Source organism: Homo sapiens, chromosome 19, assembly GCF_000001405.40.
Source record: "Homo sapiens chromosome 19, GRCh38.p14 Primary Assembly".
NCBI classification, from domain to species: Eukaryota; Metazoa; Chordata; class Mammalia; order Primates; family Hominidae; genus Homo; species Homo sapiens.
In genome coordinates, this window is record NC_000019.10 from 45,608,796 (window position 1) to 45,628,482 (window position 19,687).

At 51.9% G+C, this 19,687-nt stretch overlaps 1 protein-coding gene across 12 annotated transcripts in view, besides 5 other annotated features; it reads right to left on the reverse strand.

Annotated features, from left to right (window-relative positions):
• Window positions 1-604: 604 nt before the first annotated feature.
• EML2 (EMAP like 2) overlaps window positions 605-19,687 on the reverse strand; it is a 36,230-nt gene continuing 17,147 nt past the window's right edge. For 7 of the 12 annotated variants that reach the window (NM_001352052.1, NM_001193268.3, NM_001352053.2 and 4 more), the window contains 12 exons: window positions 17,910-18,044; window positions 15,924-16,023; window positions 12,688-12,842; window positions 12,412-12,537; window positions 10,265-10,396; window positions 8,835-8,902; window positions 7,970-8,058; window positions 7,666-7,763; window positions 7,007-7,094; window positions 5,810-5,905; window positions 4,746-4,876; window positions 605-993 (listed from right to left, as the gene is read on the reverse strand). In NM_001352052.1, the coding sequence (NP_001338981.1) occupies window positions 868-993; window positions 4,746-4,876; window positions 5,810-5,905; window positions 7,007-7,094; window positions 7,666-7,763; window positions 7,970-8,058; window positions 8,835-8,902; window positions 10,265-10,396; window positions 12,412-12,537; window positions 12,688-12,842; window positions 15,924-16,023; window positions 17,910-18,044 (1,344 nt within the window). In that variant the 3' untranslated portion in view covers window positions 605-867. The remainder of the gene's footprint in view (window positions 994-4,745; window positions 4,877-5,809; window positions 5,906-7,006; window positions 7,095-7,665; window positions 7,764-7,969; window positions 8,059-8,834; window positions 8,903-10,264; window positions 10,397-12,411; window positions 12,538-12,687; window positions 12,843-15,923; window positions 16,024-17,909; window positions 18,045-19,687) is intronic. The other 5 variants (NR_147901.2, NR_147900.2, NR_147899.2 and 2 more) reach the window with 3 other exon arrangements.
• Window positions 7,251-7,500: a silencer, noted in NCBI's record as "silent region_10782". NCBI's record gives its function as "represses an Ori minimal core promoter by ATAC-STARR-seq in GM12878 lymphoblastoid cells {active_cell/tissue: GM12878}" and the evidence as "EXISTENCE:reporter gene assay evidence [ECO:0000049][PMID:35858748]".
• Window positions 7,251-8,152: a biological region, named in NCBI's record as "H3K27ac-H3K4me1 hESC enhancer GRCh37_chr19:46119367-46120205".
• Window positions 7,314-8,152: an enhancer, noted in NCBI's record as "H3K27ac-H3K4me1 hESC enhancer chr19:46119367-46120205 (GRCh37/hg19 assembly coordinates)". NCBI's record gives its function as "activates a minimal SCP1, AML or CMV promoter by ChIP-STARR-seq in primed H9 embryonic stem cells {active_cell/tissue: H9 hESC(primed)}" and the evidence as "EXISTENCE:reporter gene assay evidence [ECO:0000049][PMID:30033119]".
• Window positions 8,153-8,990: an enhancer, noted in NCBI's record as "H3K27ac-H3K4me1 hESC enhancer chr19:46120206-46121043 (GRCh37/hg19 assembly coordinates)". NCBI's record gives its function as "activates a minimal SCP1, AML or CMV promoter by ChIP-STARR-seq in primed H9 embryonic stem cells {active_cell/tissue: H9 hESC(primed)}" and the evidence as "EXISTENCE:reporter gene assay evidence [ECO:0000049][PMID:30033119]".
• Window positions 18,645-19,145: an enhancer, noted in NCBI's record as "H3K4me1 hESC enhancer chr19:46130698-46131198 (GRCh37/hg19 assembly coordinates)". NCBI's record gives its function as "activates a minimal SCP1, AML or CMV promoter by ChIP-STARR-seq in primed H9 embryonic stem cells {active_cell/tissue: H9 hESC(primed)}" and the evidence as "EXISTENCE:reporter gene assay evidence [ECO:0000049][PMID:30033119]".

Sequence of the window (19,687 nt, forward strand, 5' to 3'; positions counted from 1 at the left end):
AACTCCTAACTTCAGGTGATCAACCTGCATCGGCTTCCCAGAGTGCTAGGATTACAGATGTGAGCCACCGCACCCAGCCAGAAAGTTTTATTTTAATCTAAGTTAGAGCAAGATGGTTTCTGTTGCTTGCATCCAATGAAGACCTAAGTAACAATGGTCCCTCATCATAAGCACTGTGACACACTGATCTGGTTTGGCTGGGTCCCCACCCAAATCTCATCTTGAATTCCCAGGCGTTGTGGGAGGGAACTGGTGGGAGGTAATTAAATCACGGGGCAGGTCTTTCCCATGCTGTTCTTGATAGCGAATGAGTCTCACAAGATCTGATGGTTTTCAAAAGTGGCGTTTCTCTGCACAAGCTCTCTTCTCTTGTCTGCCACCATGTAAGATGTGCCTTTCATCGTCCACCATGATTGTGAGGCCTCCCCAGCCACATGGAACCATAAGTCCAATAGACCTCTTTTTTTTTTGTAAATTGCCCAGTCTCAGGTATGTCTTTATCAGCAGCATGAAAACGGGCTAATACACTAATACACACACACATCCATACACATACACAACTGTGTAGGCACATACCGTACAAATACATAGACCCTGACACACCTTAGTGTACGTGTCTTTATTTCTGGATGATATAAAAGAAAAAACTTAAAAAACACCCCAAACCAAACACCAATGGATCCCCAAAGCGATGTGACTCCCTCTTCCCACCCGGATAAATAGAGACTTCTGTATGTCAGTCTACCCTCCCGCCCCCATAACCCCCTCTGCTATAGACATACTCTGGGTATATATTACTCTACTCGGCAATAGACATCTCCCGAAAATAGAATTCCTGCCCTGACACCTGACTCTTCCCTGGCCGCATCAGACCACCCGCCACTGTAGCACACTGGTGTCCTTGCCCCCTGTGGTCAGGGCCATGCTGTCATCCCACAAGAAGGCCACATTTGTCACATGGCTGCTGTGTCCACCGTACTTGTGGCTGAGGGCCTGTTACAAGGAAAGAAGTAAGTGAAGAAATGTCAGTGGGGACAATGCCACCCCATCATGGTCCTCTTGTCTTGACCCGGTTCTTTTCTGCTCTTCCTCTTTTTTTTTTTTTTTAATCACTTAGAGTGAAGTCACTTAGGTATGAGCACAGCTTCAATGCAGCCTTGACCTCCTGGGCTGAAGGGATCCTCCCACCTCAGTCTCCCAAGAAGTAGCTGGGATCACAGATATGCGCCCCCACACCTGGCTAATTCTTTTTCCTTTTATAGCAATGGGGTGTCCCAGTGTTACCAGGGCTAATAAGCCCTTTGTTTAAGAACCAACAGAGGCCAGGCGTGGTGGCTCACGCCTGTAATCCCAGCACTTTGGGAGGCCGAGGCAGGCGGATCACAAGGTCAGGAGATCAAGACCATCCTGGCCAATATGGTGAAACCCCGTTCTCTACTAAAAATATAAAAATTAGCTGGGTGTGGTGGCGCATGCCCGTAATCCGAGCTACTTCGGAGGCTGAGGCAGGAGAATCACTTGAACCAGGGAGTCGGAGGTTGCAGTGAGCCAAGATTGTGCCACTGCACTCCAGCCTGGTGACAGAGTGAGACTCTGTCTCAAACAAAAAAGAACCAACAGAACAGCTGGGCATGGTGGCTCACGCCTGTAATCCCAGCACTTTGGGAGGCCGAGGTGGGGGTGGATCACTTGAGGTCAGGAGTTCAAGACTAGCCTGGCCAACGTGGTGAAACCCCGTCTCTACTAAAAATACAAAATTAGGCCTGGCGTGGTGGCTCATGCTTATAATCCCAGCACTTTGGGAGGCCAAGTTGGGGAGATCACTTGAGGTCAGGAGTTCGATACCAGCCTGGCCAACGTGGTAAAACCCTGTCTCTACTAAAAATACAAAAAAATTAGCCGGGCGTGGTGGCACACGCCTGTAGTCCCAGCTATTTGGGAGGCTGAGGCATGAGAATCACTTGAACCCAGGCAGCGGAGGTTGCAGTGAGCCGAGATCGTGCCACTGCACTCCAGCCCGGGCGATAGAGGGAGACTCTGTCAAAAAAACAAAAACAAACAAAAAACCCAGCAGGGCAACTGAATTGGTTTATTCAGCAAGTTAATGGCATAAATAGAAGAAATAGCATGCACGTGGGGAAGGCTATTCTACATGCTGGGATTTGAGACATAAGCAAATGTAGTTTGGACCCTGGTTCAAACAAACCAACCATAGAAGGCCAGTCTGGGGCACATCAGGGAAATATGAATATGTACTGGCTATGAGATCATATTTAGGAATTAACGTTTTGTTTTTGCCTTCCTAGGGATGAGGCATGTAAGAAATTAATGTTGCTGGGCGTGGTGGCTCACGCCTATAATCCCAGCACTTTGGGAGGCCGAGGCAGGCAGATCGCCTGAGGTTGGGGGTTCAAGACCAGCCTGACCAATATGGAGAAACCCTGTCTCTATTTGAAAAATACAAAATTAGCCGGGCATGGTGGTGCATGCCTGTAATCCCAGCTACTCAGGAGGCTGAGTCAGGAGAATCGCTTGAACCCAGGAGGCGGAGGTTGCAGTGAGCCAAGATCGCGCCATTGCACTGCAGCCTGGGCAACAAGAGTGAAACTCTGTCTCAAAAAAAAAAAAGAAGAAGAAATTAATGTTAATTAGGAGTGGTCAGAGGCTTGTGGATATGTAACAATTCTTCTTCTTCTTCTTCTTCTTTTGAGACAGAATCTCGCTCTTTTGCCCAGGCTGGAGTGCAGTGGTGCAATCTCAACTCACTGCAACCTCCGCCTCCCAAGTTCAAGTGATCCTCCTGCCTCAGCCTCCTGAGTAGTTGGGATCACAGGTGCCCGCCACCACCCATGACTAATTTTTTTGCATTTTTAGTAAAGACGGGGTTTCACCATGTTGGCCAGGCTAGTCTCGAACTGTTGACCTCAGGTGATCCGCCTGCCTCGGCCTCCCAAAGTGCTGGGATTACAGGCGTGAGCCACCGGGCCTGGCCAGAATTATCCTTATTTTTTTAGGCATGAATGCTCAATTTAGAGGGCTAAAAGATAACCTATGCGTTTTCGTGTGTGTGGGTTTTTTTGTTTTTGTTTTTGTTTTATGACGGAGCCTTGCTGTCGCTCAGGCTGGAGTAAAGTGGCACGATCTCCGCTCACTACAGCCTCTGCCTCCCGGGTTCAGGCAATTCTCCCGCCTCACCTTCCCCAGTAGCTGGGATTACAGGCGTGCACCACCAGGCTTGGCTAATTTTTGTATTTTTGTATTCTTTTTTTTTTTTGAGACAAAGTCTCACTCTATCGCTCAGTGCATTGTTGCTTAGTGGAGTGCAGTGGCGTGATCTTGGCTCACTGCAACCTCTACTTCTTGGGTTCAAGCAATTCTCCTGCCTCAGCCTCCTGTGTAGCTGGGATTACAGGCGCCTGCCACTACGCCTTGCTAACTTTTGTATTTTTAGTAGAGTCAGGGTTTCACCATGTTGGTCAGGCTGGTCTCAAACTCCTGACCTCAGGTGATCCATCACCTTGGTCTCCCAAAATGCTGGGATTACAGGCTTGAGCCACCGCACCCGGCCACATATGCAGTTTCTTAAAACTACAGACCAGGACAGGTACTGTGGCTCATGCCTTGTAATCCCAGCACTTTGGGAAACTAAGGTGGAGAGGATTGCTCAAGCCCAGGAGATCAAGACCAGCCTGGGCAACAGAGAACCTATCTCTATGAAAAATACAAAAATTGGCCAGGTGTGGTGGTGCACGCCTGTAGTCCCAGCTACTCAGAAGGCTGAGGTGGGCGGACCGCTTGAGTCCAGGAGGTCAAGGCTGCAGTGAGCCGAGATTGTGCCATGCCACTGCACTCCAGCGTGGGCAACAGAGTGAGACCCTGTCTCAAAAATAAAAAATAAAAAAAGAAGAGAAAGGAGAAAGAAGAAACAAATGAAATAAATATACCAAATCTGGTAATAGTTGAACATGGGTAACAGGTACAGGAGGAGTCACTGTACTAGTCTTTCTGCTTTTATGCATGAAAATTTCCTAGGAAAATGCTGAAACAATCCCTCTTCTGTTAGAACCAGAGAATGGTAAAATTAACGTCCAGCTTTTTTTTTTGTTTTTGTCTTTGTTTTGAGACAAAGTCTTGCTCTGTCGCCCAGGCTAGAGTACAGTGGTGCAATCATGGCTCACTGCAGCCTCAACCTCCTGGGCTCAAGCAATCCTCCCACCTCAGACTTCCTTGTAGCTGGAACTACAGGCATGCACAACCATGCCCAGCTAATTTTGTGTGTATTTTGTAGAGATGGGGTCTCACTTTGTTGCCCAGGCTGGTCTTGAACTCCTGGCCTCAAGCAATCCTCCTGCCTCAGCTTTGCAAAGTGTTGCGATTACAGGTGTGAGCCACTGCAACTGGCCTTGGCCTCCCTTAAAAACTCATAAGATCTGGTTGTATATCCTGTGCCTAGGTACATAGTAGGTGCTCAATAAATATTTACTGAGTTAACAAGGATAAAAGAACCAAAGAGCTCAGAATTGCAGTTGCTCAGAACTTCAGAGAACCAGGTCTTCACCATGACACACTGAAATTCATCCACCTTGGGGTTAAGAAAGGCCCTTGGGATCAAGACTACTGTCCTCCTTGTACAGATGGGGAAACCGAGGCTCAGAGAAGGGGTGGGGTTGGACCAGAGCTGCCTGAATTTTGTCCCCACCCCTGCTTGCTACCCCCGTCCATCCCCATCTCCCCAAGGGACTCACTCGAGGCTGACAGCAGGGGTAGCTAAACAGGTGAACTTTGCCAAAGTCATCAGCTGAAGCCAGCAACTTCCCATCATGAGAGCGGGCCACAGCGTTGATATCAGTGCCGTCCGCCCCCTCAGACCAGATCCCTGTGGGCAAGATGAAGGGAAGTGGTAAGATGTCAGCTGGAGCCAGGGACCGCCAAGAGGAGCAGATTGCCACTCCAGCCACCTTAATTTGTTCCGACCTAGCCTGTATCTATCCGAGGATATGAGTCAGAATTACCTTAAAATGTGAATCCGAGCCTGCCCCTGCTCTGCTTAAAACCCTTCCATGGCTCCCTGGTGATCTTAGAAGAAAGCCTGTGGTTCTAAGGCTCAGCAGGCCCCATGCACTGCTCCAGCCTCATCCCTCATCAGTGCTCCTGTTAAACTCTGTAATGATTTGGCCACCCTGCCTCCCTGCATTTCTCCAAATGCCAAGTTCTGTGTCACGCGTGGGCTTTTGTATGTACTATTCCCTTTGCCAAGAGACTGCTTTCCTTCTTCACTGCCCTGGAAAGTAACTCCTCATCCTCCAGGTCCTAGCTCAGATGTCTCTTCCTCCAGGAAGCCCTCCCTGATTCCCTCCAAGAGTAGGCCAGATGCCCCACCCTGGGTTTCCCTGTCTCAGACCTGCTCACTCTGGGTCATCACTGTCTGGGGACAAGTCTGCCTCCCCCACTGGACTGAGAGCCACAGGAGAGCAGGGCCGTCAGTCATGGTCACTGCCAAGCCCACGGCAGGCACAGAACTGCTCAGGGAATATGTGTTTGCTTCATTCGTGCCTGAATGAATGGGTGGCTAGGGCACCGGCAGTGTGGATCTCTCCTGGCCAGTTACCACGCCCATTTGGTTTCATTTTATTACAGCTCTAATGAGTCATCTCACCCTACCCTTTCCTCTTACACAAATACAGCCCACATGCAGTAAAGCAGTGAGCTTCCCACACTGGAGGTAAGCAGTAAGACTCTGGAAACCACCAGCGGGGATGTCTCTCAGAACTACTGTCCTCAGTGAGACCTCTCTCATTCCAGAACTCACCAAACACCCCAAACCCTAGGACACAAGTAGCTGTGGCCCATTCCATGTTCCTCACAGCATCCGCACTGGTGATCTGCTTACAGGTAGCCGGGTCCCCTGGGGCAGAAAATGGGAGGAGACATTCAGAGTTGGAAGAACTACCCAGTAAACCCATCCCTTTCTTAGACAATCGGAGCTGAGGTCCAAGACAGAGGAGGCTAAGGTCCCAGGGCTCATTCTACCTGTCAGGACTGGCTGAGAAGGCATCACATGCTGGGGTCTTCACAGCCCGCAGCGTAAGCAGGAGCATCTACTTTTAAACCCGCATCTGGCCGGGCATGGTGGCTCACGTCTGTAATCCCAGGAGGCAGCATGAGCCACAGCATCTGGCTGGATCACCTGAGGTCAGGAGTTCGAGACCAGCCTGGCCAAGATGGTGAAACCCCATCTCTACTAAAAATACAAAAATTAGACCAGGTGTGGTGGCTCATGCCTGTAATCCCAGCATTTTGGGAAGCCAAGGCAGGCGGATCACCTGAGGTCAGGAGTTTAAGACCAACCTGGTCAACATGGCGAAACCCTGTCTCTACTAACAATATTTTAAAAATTAGCTGGGCGTGGTGGTGGACACCTGGAATCCCAGCTACTCAGGAGCCTGAGGCAAGAGAATCGCTTGAACCTGGGAGGCGGAGGCTGCAGTGAGCCGACATCGTGCCATTGCACTCCAGCCTAGGAGACAAGAGGGAAACTCCCATCTCAAAAAAAAAAAAATACAAATACAAATATTAGCCGGGCATGGTGGTGTGCTCCTGTAATCCCAGCTACTCAGGAGGCTGAGGCAGAAGAATCACTTGAACCTGGGAGGCGGAGCTTGCAGTGAGCCGAGATCGCGCCACTGCACTCCAGCCTGGGGGACAGAGCAAGACTCCGTCTCAAAATAATAATAATAATAATAATAATAATAATAATAATTAAAAATTTAAAAATGTAAAAAAAGAAACCTGCATCCTACCCATCCGACCGGAAAGGGGAGGAGTTGACTAAAAGTGGGGTATACCAGGGAGAAAATGAGAAGCCAGCGGTCCCTAAATTCCAAATCAGAACCAGCCTTGAATACCAAGGGAGCGAGGCTTGAAGCCCCTCCCTCCCCTCCCAGAACTCAGGGAAGTCTGCAAATGAGACGGAGGAAGTAATGTCTCTGGGTCCCGGAGAACTCACAGTACAGAATCTCATAGTCCCCGGAGTTGGTGACAAAGCAGCTGCTGTCCTGGGCCCAATCCAGGTGGGTGATAAAACTGGAATGGCCCTGCGGGGGAGGGAAGGGATGGTGTTAGAGCTGCAGAGGGCGGAACCAAGGAGAGGGGGACAGGATTAAATCAGGAAAGTGGAAGTCAAATACAGAGGTAGGGCGAGAACACAAGGGGACTAAAGGAAGGATACACAGGCCTTTGGAGTATGGGGGCAGGGCCAGAATACTGTGGGCGGGGCCAGACTGTGATGGGCAGGGCTAGACAAAAAGCACTTAGAACACAATGGGAGTTTAGAACAGGTGGGCAGGGCTAGACACGGAGGAGCTGGCTTTGAATGTTGAGGGGCGGGGCTACACAGAGGGGCGGTCTCGGAACGTGAGGGGCGGTCTCGGAACGTGAGGGGCGGGGCTACACAGATGGGCTTAGCACGTGGGGGCGGGGCTACACAAAGGGGCGGGCTTAGAACACACGAGGTGGTGAATGTGTGGACGTGGCCAAGACTCCTTGCTCTGATCAGGGCAGAATCAGTTGAGTGTTGAAGCTGCGCTCCCTTGAGGTAGAAAATTGGTTAATTTTGCACCCCCTGGGCGGGGTGGCGGCGCGGGCTGGGGGCCACTGCCCACTCACCGAGCACTTGCCCAGGCGGCTGACCTTGCGGCCGCCCTGGTCCACCGTGTACACGTACACCAAGTTGTCGTGGGAGCCCACGGCCAGGTACGCCCCGTCTGGGGGAGGGGGAGGGGGGCTATGAGGAGGCACCCAGGCTCCATCCCCTCCTCGCCCAGACTCAGCCCCCTCAACAGTCCCCAGCTCCATCCCCACTGCATCCCTCCTAGGCCTCGCTTCGCAGGCTCCACCCCTCCCCCTGCCAAGAGCTCTGAGCCTCTGTCCCCTGGCCCTGCCGCTTGGGTGTCCCAGGCCTGCCGCTTACCTGGGGAGAAGCTGACCACTGAGATCTGTTCATTGCCGTCTGTGTGGATAGCCACCAGGTCATGGGTCTCCGTGTCCAGCAGCAGCCATCTTGAAGGAGAGGGCGTGGTGGGGGGAGGAGGGGTGAGCTGATCTGACAGAGAGAGGCCGCAATCTGTGGGGTCTAAGGGAGGGATCAGAGGGACCCCAGAAGTGACCTGGGCTGGGCACGGTGGCTCAGGCCTATAATCCCAGCACGCTGGGAGGCCGAGGCGGGTGGATCACTTGAGGTCAAGAGTTCGAAATCAGCCTGGTCAACATAGCAAAACCCCGTCTCTACTAAAAATACAAAAATTAGCCAGGCGTGGTGGCACGTGCCTGTAATCCCAGCTACTTAGGAGGCTGAGGCACGAGAATTGCTTGAACCCGGGAGGCAGAGGTTGCAGTGAGCTGAGATCGCGCCACCGGACTCCAGTCTGGGCGACAGAGCAAGACTCTGTCCCCCCAAAAAACAAAACAAAACAAGGCCAGGTACAGTGGCGGTGGCTCACGCCTGTAATCCTAGCACTTTGAGAGGCTGAGGCAGGTGAATCACTTGAGGTCAGGAGTTCGAGACCAGCCTGGCCAACATGGTGAAACCCCGTCTCTACTAAAAATAAAAAAAAATTAGCCAGGCATAGTGGTGGGCGCCTGTAATCCCAGCTACTCGGGAGGCTGAGGCAGGCAAATCGCTTGAACCTGGGAGGCAGAGGCTGCAGTGAGCCAGAGGAATATTGAGGGATCAGGGCTCGGTAAATAGTGGGATTTGGGAAAGTAGGAAAGAGGGAAGAAGGGCCAGTTCCCCAGGGAGCAGAGAAGGCCTCCCGAAATGCTCTCCTCAGCTTTACCTGCCAGTCACTGTACCCACAGCCAGGACAGAGCCACTGGGGTGGAAGCCGGCTGAGCGGGCAGGGTCCTGAGAAGGGAGAGAGAAGAGGCAGGGCTCAGAGCTGGGGTCCCATGTCCATCTGGACATTCTCTTGCCTCAGGGCCAAGTCTAATCTTTGCATGAGGGCTCTCCCCTCCCTCTGCTGCCCTTTGGGACACCCCCACCCCAGACACCATGGCAGCCATTCCTCTTTACATTTCTGTAGCATGTTAACCTGAACAGAAACCATTCCTCCTGTCACTCCTGTCCCGGGATCCCTCCTTACTCCTCTTCTAAATTCCCACAGCTTTATTCATCCAAGACGACTTCTTTAGATAATTTCCTAGATGTGGGAATGCTGGGACAAAGGGCATCTAGAATTTTAAGACTTTATTTTTGTTTTTTATTTTTTAAATTTTTATTTATTTTTTTGAGATGGAGTTTCACTCTGTTGCCCAGGCTGGAGTGCAGTGGCACGGTCTCAGCTCACTACAACCTCCGCCTCCTGGGTTCAAGCGATTCTCCTGGCTCAGCCTCCCAAGTAGCTGACATTACAGGCGCCCACCACCACGCCCGGCTAATTTTTGTTTTTTTTTTTTCATTTTTTGTAAAGATGGGGTTTTGCCATGTTGCCCAGGCTGGTCTCAAACTCCTGGATTCACACAATCTACCTGCCTCAGCCTCCCAAGTGCTGGGATTACAGGTGTCAGCCACCACACCCAGCTGAAATTTTTATTCTGTTTACATTTTAATTAATTGTGAATAGCCATGTGTGGCCAGTGGTTACCCTATGGGACAGTGTAGCTCTACACTTGACTGTTGCAGCGGTCACACCTTCCTTGAACTCAGCGGCTCCTGACTCCCCCCTCCTCATGGCGGCACCCCTGACAGGATGGTTCGGTGTCGTCCTGGGCTCCCTTCCAGTCAAGAACCTACTCCTCCAACCCTTCTGAGAGAGCTTCTAAGCACCCAGTTCCCTAGATGAAACCCCCACCCTGCTTAAAAAGACCTTGTTTGGGCCAGGCTTGGTGGCTGGCATCTGTAATCCCAGCACTTTGAGAGGCCGAGGCGGGCGGATCACGAGGTCAGGAGTTCGAGACCAGCCTGACCAACATGGTGAAACCCTGTCTCTATTAAAGATACATAAATTAGCTGGACATGGTGGTGTGCACCTGTAATCCCAGCTACTCGGGAGGCTGAGGCAGAAGAATCACTTGAACCCGGGAGGCGGAGGTTGCAGTGAGCCGAGATCGTGCCATTGCCCTCCAGCCTGGGTGACAGAGCGAGACTCCACCTCGAAGAAAAAAAAAAAAAGACCTTGTTTGGTTTCAGTCTAATGTGCTGAGCCCTGACACAGGGGGAAAGGTAGTTCTGTTAGAATGGTGCTTTTCCAGTCCCCGGGCCCCTTACCTCGATGATCCTGCTCCACAGGGGCTGGTGGGAATCTGAGCTCCATAGATGCACCAGCTTATCCTGCCCGCAGGTCACAAACTGGGCCCGACTGGGGTGTGTGGCCAGGCCCCACAGCTCTTCCACATGGCCCTGGTGGAAAGGGAGGACAGCAGGATGGAGACAGCAGCCCTGGCCTTTTCCCACTCAACACTAATGCCAGACAAATGCTAGATGAGCCCCAGCAACTCACCCTGCCCCAGCGGGACCCAGGGAAGACCTTTCCCAGTATGTCTGAAGGGGGCCTCAATTGGGCATCTGAACCCATGCCCTGGTGTGTGACTCAAGGCAAATCCTGCCCCTTCTCCAGGGACCTCTGCTTTCTTCTTTGCACAATGGGAGGCAGGAGGGCATGGTGGCTCAGAGCTTGATCTCAGGGGTCAGACAGGCTGCACCCTGGCCACACACCTCCCAGGTCTCCAGCTCCAAGGATCTGGGAAGGCGCTTCTGGAGTCTGCCTGCATCCAGACAGAGCCCAGAAGTCTGAGGGACCTCATGGAGGGCACTAAACCTGATGGCTCTGACCTTCGGCTTTCTATTACTGACCGAGCGCAGTCATCTAGGCAGGTGACATCTCCTTGGGACCTCAGTTTGATCGCCTGTAAAATGGGGCCAATTGGTATGTATGCCTCATAGCATTCCTGTGCTCACTCAAATCATGGATGGAAAATGCTGGCCAGGTGCGGTGGCTCACGCCGGTAATCCCGACACTTTGGGAGGCTGAGGCAGGAAGATTGAGCTCAGGAGTCCGAGACCAGCCTGGGCAACATGGCAAAACCCCATCTCTACAAAAAATACAAAAATTTGCCAGTTGTGGTGGTGCACACTTGTAGCCCCAGCTACTTGGGAGGCTGAGGCAGGAGGATCCCTTGAGCCCAGGAGACGGAGGTTGCAGTGAGCTGAAATGGCATCACTGCATTCCAGGCTGGGTGATATAATAAATAAATAAAATGCTAAACATGAGGATAATTCAGAGAATGTGGTCACAAAATGGAAATGTCTAACTATTAATATTTATAACAAATTTTTTTTTTAGACGGAATCTCACTCTGTCATCCAGGCTGGAGTGCAGTGGTAGGATCTCAGCTCACTGCAACCTCTGCCTCCCAGGTTCAAGCAATTCTCCTGCCTCAGCCTTTTGAGTAACTGGGATTACAGGCACACGCCACCATGCCCAGCTAATGTTTTGTATTTTTAGTACAGATGGTGTTTCACCATGTTGCCCAGGCTGGTCTTGACTCCTGATGTCAAGTGATCTGCCTGCCTCGGCCTCCCAAAGTAATATTAATATTATGATTAATAATTATAATAGCCAATATAATAGTATGGGCTGGGTGCAGTGGTTCATGCCTGTAATCCCCGCATTTTGGGAGGCTGAGGTGGGTGGATCACTTGAGGTCAGGAGTTTGAGACCAGCCTGACCAAAATGGTGAAAACCCATTTCTACTAAAAATACAAAAATTAGCTGGGTGTAGTGGTACATGCCTATAATTCCAGCTACTCGGGAGGCTGAGGCAGGAGAATCACTTGAAGCGGGAGGCAGAGTTTGCAATGAGCCGAGATTGAGCCACTGCGCTGCAGCCTGGGCAACAGAGCGAGACTCTGTCTCAAAAATGAAAAAAAAAAAAAAAAAGTATAAATATAGTGCTTCCCGGTAGGTGAGTTCTTTAATTGGGTCAGGGGTAAGGAAGGGAGGGAGGAGGCCAGGAAGGGAGGAGCAGGCGTTTGAGCTTCGAGAAGAAATGCAAGCAGACTCCAGCAGGACCTTCCCCAATCCGTGGAGCTGGAGTCTGAGAGGTGTGTGGCCAGGGTGTCTGCAGCTGTGGGACAACCTGTAGGGACACTCACCAACCTGAAGGGTGCCACCCCCAATCAGAGTGGCAGGAGGCAGCACAGTTGGAGCAGGGGCCTGGGGCCCCTCTGCTGTGCTTGGAGTTAAACTCTTGGTTGCTGGATCCTGGGAAGGGGTCCTGGGTCAGGGCCAGGTCAGAGAAGGGACAGAGCAGGGAGGTGAGGAGAACTGGGAGTGGGGAGGGGGAGTGGATGATGCAGGGAAGGCCAGGGAAAGAGCTGGGAAGAGGGGAGGGGTGCAGAGGAGAGAGGCGCACCTGGACCAGCAGTGAGAAGCCTGTGTGCACGGAGCCCTGCAGGATGGAATTGCGGGTGGTCCCCACGTACAGTGTGTCTCCGTGGCCCTCTGCCACGGTGCGCACAGGGCCAAAGTCCTCAGGGACCTGGGTGGACAGATAAGAGGGAAGATGAGTAGGATGCACACGGGTGGGTGTGGGGTGACATACTGTGGGGAGGAGGGTCTGGCGTTGGGAGCCCTGGTGAGATCGGGGGGGGCCTCTCTACCCCCATCTGAGCCCACTGCCCCTCCTCACCTCCACTTCCTGCAGCTTGCTGTAGTCAGAACCCCAGAGGACCACCCGCCGATCACGGCCCCCTCCAGACACCAGCGTCCCGTCCCGCAGGGCGCAGAGCCCAAACACGCCGCCGTCGTGGGCGCCCAGCACCGCCTGTGTGATACGGTTCCCACCTGCAGGGTGGCCAGGGGCAGGGTCAACAGGGAGAAGCCACCCCTATGCTGACCCCTGAAAGCATCTTGAACTCTCAAGCCTATGTCCATCCATTCTCACCCACTTTTCCACCTTTTTTTTTTTTTTGAGACGGAGTCTCTCTGTTGCCCAGGCTGGAGTGCACTGGTGCTATCTCGGCCCACTTCAGCCTCTGCCTCTTGGGTTCAAGTGACTCTCCTACCTCAGCCTCCCAAGTAGCTGGGATTACAGGCGCCCACCACCATGCCTGGCGAATTTTTTGTTTCTCGTAGAGATGGGTTTCACCATGTTGGCCAGGCTGGTCTCGAACTCCTGACCTCAAGTGATCCACCCGCCTTGGCCTCCCTAAGTGCTGGGATTACAGGCATGAGCCACCATGCCCGGCCCCACCTTTCGACCTTTCTATCTGCTCTTCCACCCACCCAACCACCCAAGCACCTGCCACCTACCCACTCAAATACAATACCTTATCATCTATTCATTAAACCATCTGCACTAACATCTACCCATCCACCCATCTACCCTTTGACCCATACACCCACCCATCCATCCATCCACTCACTTATCTACTGGTCTGTTAGATGAACACTATCGACTCATCCATTCATCACCCATCCATCCACCAGACTATCTATCCATCCATCACCCTAGCCATTCATCCACCCATCTCTCTACTGATCCATCCAGTCAGCCACCCTGCCATCCATCCATCAACCCACCTCTCATCCATTCATTTGCCCTCTCTCGTTTTGTTTTGCTTTGTTTTGTTTTGTTTTGTTTTATTTTGTTTTTGAGACAAAGTCTTGCTCTGTCGACCAGGCTGGAGTGCAGTGGTATGATCTTGGCTCACTGCAACCTCTGCCTCCTGGGTTTAAGCGATTCTCATGTCTCAGCCTCTGGAGTAGCTGGGATTACAGGCATGTGCCACCACACCTGGCTAATTTTTGTATTTTTAGTAGAGACAGGGTTTCACTATGTTGGCCGGGCTGGTCTCGAACTCTTTGACTCAAGTGATCTGCCTGCTTCAGCCTCCCAAAGTGCCAAGATTACAGGTGTGAGCCATGGCACCCAATCTAATAAAGACAATTTTTTAAAAAGAGAGGGCAGGCGGCCGGGTTCGGTGGCTCATGCCTGTAATCCCAGCACTTTGGGAGGCCGAAGGGGGCGGATCACGAGGTCAGGAGATTGAGACCATCCTGGCTAACATGGTGAAACCCCATCTCTACTAAAAAAATACAAAAAATTAGCCGGGAGTGGTGATGGGCACCTGTAGTCCCAGCTACTTGGGAGGCTGAGGCAAGAGAATGGTGAACCTGGGAGGTGGAACTTGCAGTGAGCTGAGATTGCGCCACTGCACCCCAGCATGGGCGACAGAGCGAGACTCCGTCTCAAAAAAAAAAAAAAGAGAGAGAGCGCAGGCTGGCCGAGTGCGGTGGCTGATGCCGATAATCGCAGCACTTTGGGAGGCCGAGGTGGGCGGATCACGAGGTCAGGAGATGGAGACCATCCTGGCTAACACGGTGAAACCCCGTCTCTACTAAAAATACAAAAAATTAGCCGGGTGTGGTGGCGGGCACCTGTAGTCCCAGCTACTTGGGAGGCTGAGGCAGGAGAATGGCGTGAACCCAGGAGGCAGAGCTTGCAGTGAGCCGAGATCACTTGAGCTCAAGTGTTCGAGGGCAGCCTGGGCAACATAGCGAGACCTCATCTCTACAACAAATACAAAAATTACCTGGGCCTGGTGGTGGGCACCTGTAGTCCCAGGTACTTGGGAGGCAGGAGGATCACTTGATACTGGGAGGCAGAGGTTGCAGTGAGCTGTGATGGCAACCACTGCACTCCAGCCTGGGCGCTAGAGTGAGACCCTGTCTTAAAAAAAAATTCTTTATTAAAAAAAAATTTTTTTTTTTTTGAGACAGAGTCTTGCTCTGTCCCCTAGGCTGGAGTGCAGTGGTGCCATCTCTGGTCACTGCAATCTCCACCTCCAGGGTTCAAGTGATTCTCCCACCTCAGCCTCCCGACTAGCTGGGATTACAGGTGCTCGCCACCATGCCAGGCTAATTTTTGTATTTTTAGTAGAGATGGGGTTTTGCTATGTTGGCCAGGCTGGTCTTAAACTCCTGACCTCATGTGATCTGCCTGCCTCGGCTTCCCAAAGTGCTGGGATTACAGGCGTGAGCCACCGCACCCAGCCTAAAAACTTTTAAAAGTAAAGATGAGGTCTCACTATGTTGCCCTGGCTGGTCTCAAACTCCTGGGCTCAACCAGTCCTCCTGCCTCAGCCCCTCAAAGTGCTAGGATTACAGGCATGAGCCACTGTCCCAGCCTCAACCCATTAGTTTGTTAATAAAGTCATCCATTGGTTGGAGCAAGTATTTCTTCACCCAACCATTGGCTAAGACAAGTCATTTATTCATCCAATCACTGATTAACTTCTTGGAACAATCTGTTCTTCATAACACATTAATCTGTTGGCTGAAACAACCATTCATTCATTCACTCACTCATTCACTCATTCATTCATTGCTGTATAGATCCACTGCCTGAGACAAAACCTATTCACTAACATAGTTAGCCATTAGTGGTAACAACCACTCATTTGTTCCTTTACCCAGTCACTCTCCCTTTAAGGAGGATGACACATTCATTTACTTATTCTTCCATCCATTTCCTAGGATCACACCTTCATTCATTCCTTCATTCACTTATTCATTGATCCACACGCTGGGACAAAGCACTTGTCCATGTATCCATTCATCTACCCATCCGTCCTTCCTTCCATCCACCCATCCATCCATTCATCATCTAAACACAACTGAGCTAACCCATTCATTGATAATCTGGACTTGATCCCTAACAAGGGATTTCCAGAGGGCAAGGCAGGGGGGAGTCAATAAAGATTTCCTGGAGATAGGGATACTTGAGCTGAACCTTGACGAGGGTGTTGGAATCGGACATCCATTTACACTCATTTCACACAAGCAGAATTCCACGAAGGGAGGCAGAGCCAGGAGTGTTTCAGAAGACTGGATTGGGAACCAAACAGATGGGGTGACACTGACCTTTGCCCCAAACATAGAGGTTCCCCCCAGAGTCCCCCGTGACCACGTCGCCACCTTCCAAAAAGGTCACACACAGCACATACTTCGGTTTCTCATGTTTCTAAGGTGGGGGAGGAAAGGAAGGTGTCAGAGCGTCACTGAAGCAGGTAGCCTCCCAGAGGTCATCTGTCACCCAGGACCGTGGCCAGGCAATCCCCTCTATCTATGCGTTTAGGGTAAGGCTCTGCGTGGAGCATCCCTTCTCCCACCTGCCTCCATCCGGCCTGCAGTGCTTCGGTGGCCTAGAGGTTCTGACCACAATTGTCTTGCTTTCCTACCCCTGGGCCCACTTCCTGCCCTCTCTCTGGTCCCCCTGACTCTTTCTTTTGAGATACAGTCTCACCTGTCATCTAGACCGGAGTGCAGTGGCATGTCTCGGCTCACAGCAACCTCCCCCTCCCGGGTTCAAACGATTCTCCTGCCTCAGCCTCCCAAGCAGCTGGGATTACAGGCCTGCGCCATCATGGCCGGCTAATTTTGTTTTGTTTTTGTTTTTGTTTTTCAGACGGAGTCTCGCTCTGTCACCAGGCTGGAGTGCAGTGGCGTGATCTCGGCTCACTGCAACCTCCACCTCCCGGGTTCAAGCGATTCTCCCGCTGCAGCCTCCCAAGTAGCTGGGATTACAGGCGCCCACCATCACGCCTGGCTAATTTTCATATTTTTTTAGTAGAGATGGGGTTTTGCCATGTTGGCCAGGCGGGTCTGAACTCCTGGCCTCAAGTGATCCACCCGCCTCGGCCTCCCAAAGTGCTGGGATTACAGGCGTGAGCCACCGCACCCAGCCTGGTCCCCCTGACTTCTCCCCTCCTGTCGGCGCCTCATTCATCCTGTCTCTCCTCCTCCCTCCTCACCTCCAGTCTGTCTCTCTAGGTCCCATTCCCTGCCTCACTCCACCTTCTCAGTGTCTCTGTTTCATCTCCGTGCCCAGTGTTCTCTGGGCTTCCCTTTTGGGGTGGAAGCCCCATCTCTCACCAAAGGCAATGAGCCCTATGGGAGGAAGCCCTGTGTCTTCCCACCCTCTGCTTCCCACTCAACTTGTGGCTCTCTCAGCCAGGCAGCCTCTGAGTTCTCTGATTATCCATCATATCGACAACCGCAGCACCCCTGTTTTTGTTTTTGTTTTTGTTTTTGTTTTTTTTGAGACAGGATCTCACTCTGTCACCCAGGCTGGAGTGCAGTGGTACCATCATGGCTCATTGCAGTCAACCTCCTGGGCTCAAGCGGTCCTCCCACGTCAGCCTCCCAGGTAGCTGGGATTACAGGTGCGCACCACCATGCCTGGCTAATTTTTGTATTTTTTGTAGATATGAGGTCTCTCCATGTTTCCCAGGCTGGTCTCGAACTTCTGGGCTCAAGGGATCCTCCCACCTCAGCCTCCCAGGTAACTGGGATTACAGGTGCACACCACCATGCCCAGCTAATTTTTGTATTTTTTGTAGATATGAGGTCTCACCATGTTCCCCAGGCTGGTCTCGAACTCCTGGGCTCAAGGGATCCTCCCCCCTCAGCCTCCCAAAATGCTGGGATTACAGGCGAGAGCCACCTTGCCACAGTACCCATTTATTGACCATTTACTATCTGCTAGGAACTGCTGTACTCTTCATCCCTTTGAATCCTCACAACTTTTTTTTTTTTTTTTTTTTTTTTTTTCTGAGATAGGGTCTCGTTCTATCACCCAGGCTGGAGTGATCATTTGATCACGGCTCACTGCAGCCATGAGCTCAGGTGATCCTTCCACCTCATGGTGCCCGGTCACCCTCTTAACTCCAGAGTTAAGGTGGATCATCACCATGGTATGGAGAAAGAAACTGAGGCCCCAGCAGGCAACATCTCAGCGTCCCTGTAATCCCAAACCCCTGCCACCCTCTGGGGGATCTTGCTACCTCCCTGCCTGTCCCTAACTACCTCTCTCAGGGCCAGCCTGTCCCCCAAACCCCTGGCACTCACCTCAAAGAGGCCTTGCCGCTTGCTCAAGCTGCCCCCCTCCAAGGTCCAGAAGTAGATGTGAGATTTCCCGCAGGTGATAAGCACAGTGGGGTCCGTGGGGTGGAAGGTGGCCACCAATACAGCCTCATTGGAGCACTTTGGGGGGTGGGGGAGATTCTGAATGAGGACCTCAAAGTCCCCAAGGCTACTATACCCGCCCCTCACAGGACTGCCCTAAACGGCTGTTTGTGTTGTATGCTGCACACCTGAACTTTTCTTTTTTTTTTTTTTTTCAGGGCAGAGTCTCACCCTGTCACCCAGACTGGAGTGCAGTGGTGCAATCTCTGCTCACTGCAACCTCCGCCTCCTGGGTTCAAGCGATTCTCTTGCCTCAGCCTCCCGAATAGCTGGTATTACAGGCAGGTGCTACCACACCCAGCTAATTTTTGTATTCTTAGTAGAGACAGGATTTCACCATGTTTCCCGGCTGGTCTCGAACTCTTTACCTCGTGATCCACCCGCCTCAGCCTCCTAAAGTGCTGGGATTACAGGCGTGAGCCACTGCGCCCGGCCTTTTTTTTTTTTTTTTTGAATATGAGTCTCGCTCTGTTGCCCAGGCTGGAGTGCGGTAGCACAATCTTGGCTCCTACAACCTCTGCCTCCCAGGTTCAAGAGATTCTTCTGCCTCAGCCTCCCAAATAGCTAGATTTACAGGGACGTGCCACCACACCTGGCTAATTTTTGTATTTTTAGTAGAGATAGGGTTTCACCATGTTGGCCAGGCTGGTCTCAAACTCCTGACCTCAAGTGATCTTCCCACCTCAGCCTCCTAAAGTGCTGGGATTACAGGCGTGAGCCACCACGCCTGGCCAGTACCTTTCCTATACGGTAAATTAAAGTACAGGAAGCAGGACAAGCCAGCGAAGCATTATCATCTTCTTCATCATTAACAAAACAGCAGACACTTGGAGCTCCTCTCCTCTGCCCTAAGCACTGTGCTCAACATTTTACAATCATTAGCTCCTTTAATCCTCCATCTCCCTGTGAGGTCAAGACCATTATGCCCACCTCATTGCAAATTAAAAAGTGAGGCTCAGGCTGGGCGTGGTGGTTCACGCCTGTAATCCCAGCCCTTTGGGAGGCCAAGGCGGGTGGATCACCTGAGGTCGGGAGTTCGAGGCCAGCCTAACCAACATGGAGAAACTCCGTCTCTACTAAAAATACAAAATTAGCTGGTCGTGGTGGTGCATGCCTGTAATCCCAGCTACTCGGGAGGCTGAGGCAGGAGAGTTGCTTGCTTGAACCCGGGAGGCGGAGGTTGCAGTGAGCCGAGATCGTGCCAGTGCACTCCAGCCTGGGCAACAAGAGGAAAACTCCGTCTCACAAAAAAAGTGAGGCTCAGAGAGGGCCGGGTGTAGTGGCTCACACCTGTAATCCCAGCACTTTGGGAGGCCGAGGCAGGCGGATCACGAGGTCAGGAGTTCGAGACTGGCCTGGTCAACGTGGCGAAACCCCATCTCTACTAAAGATACAAAAAAATTAGGCGTGGTGGTGCGCACCTGTAATCCCAACTACTTGGGAGGCTGAGGCAGGAGAATCACTTGAACCCAGGTGGTGGAGGTTGCAGTGAGCCGAGATCATGCCATTACACTCCAGCCTGGGTGACAGGGCGAGACTCCATCTCAAATAGAAAAAAAAAAAGTGAGGCTCAGAGAGGGTAAACCATTTGCCTAAGGCCACACAGCTAGGCAAGAGTTGTGTGTGGAACCCAGCTCACCTAGCCCTAATTCCAGAGCACA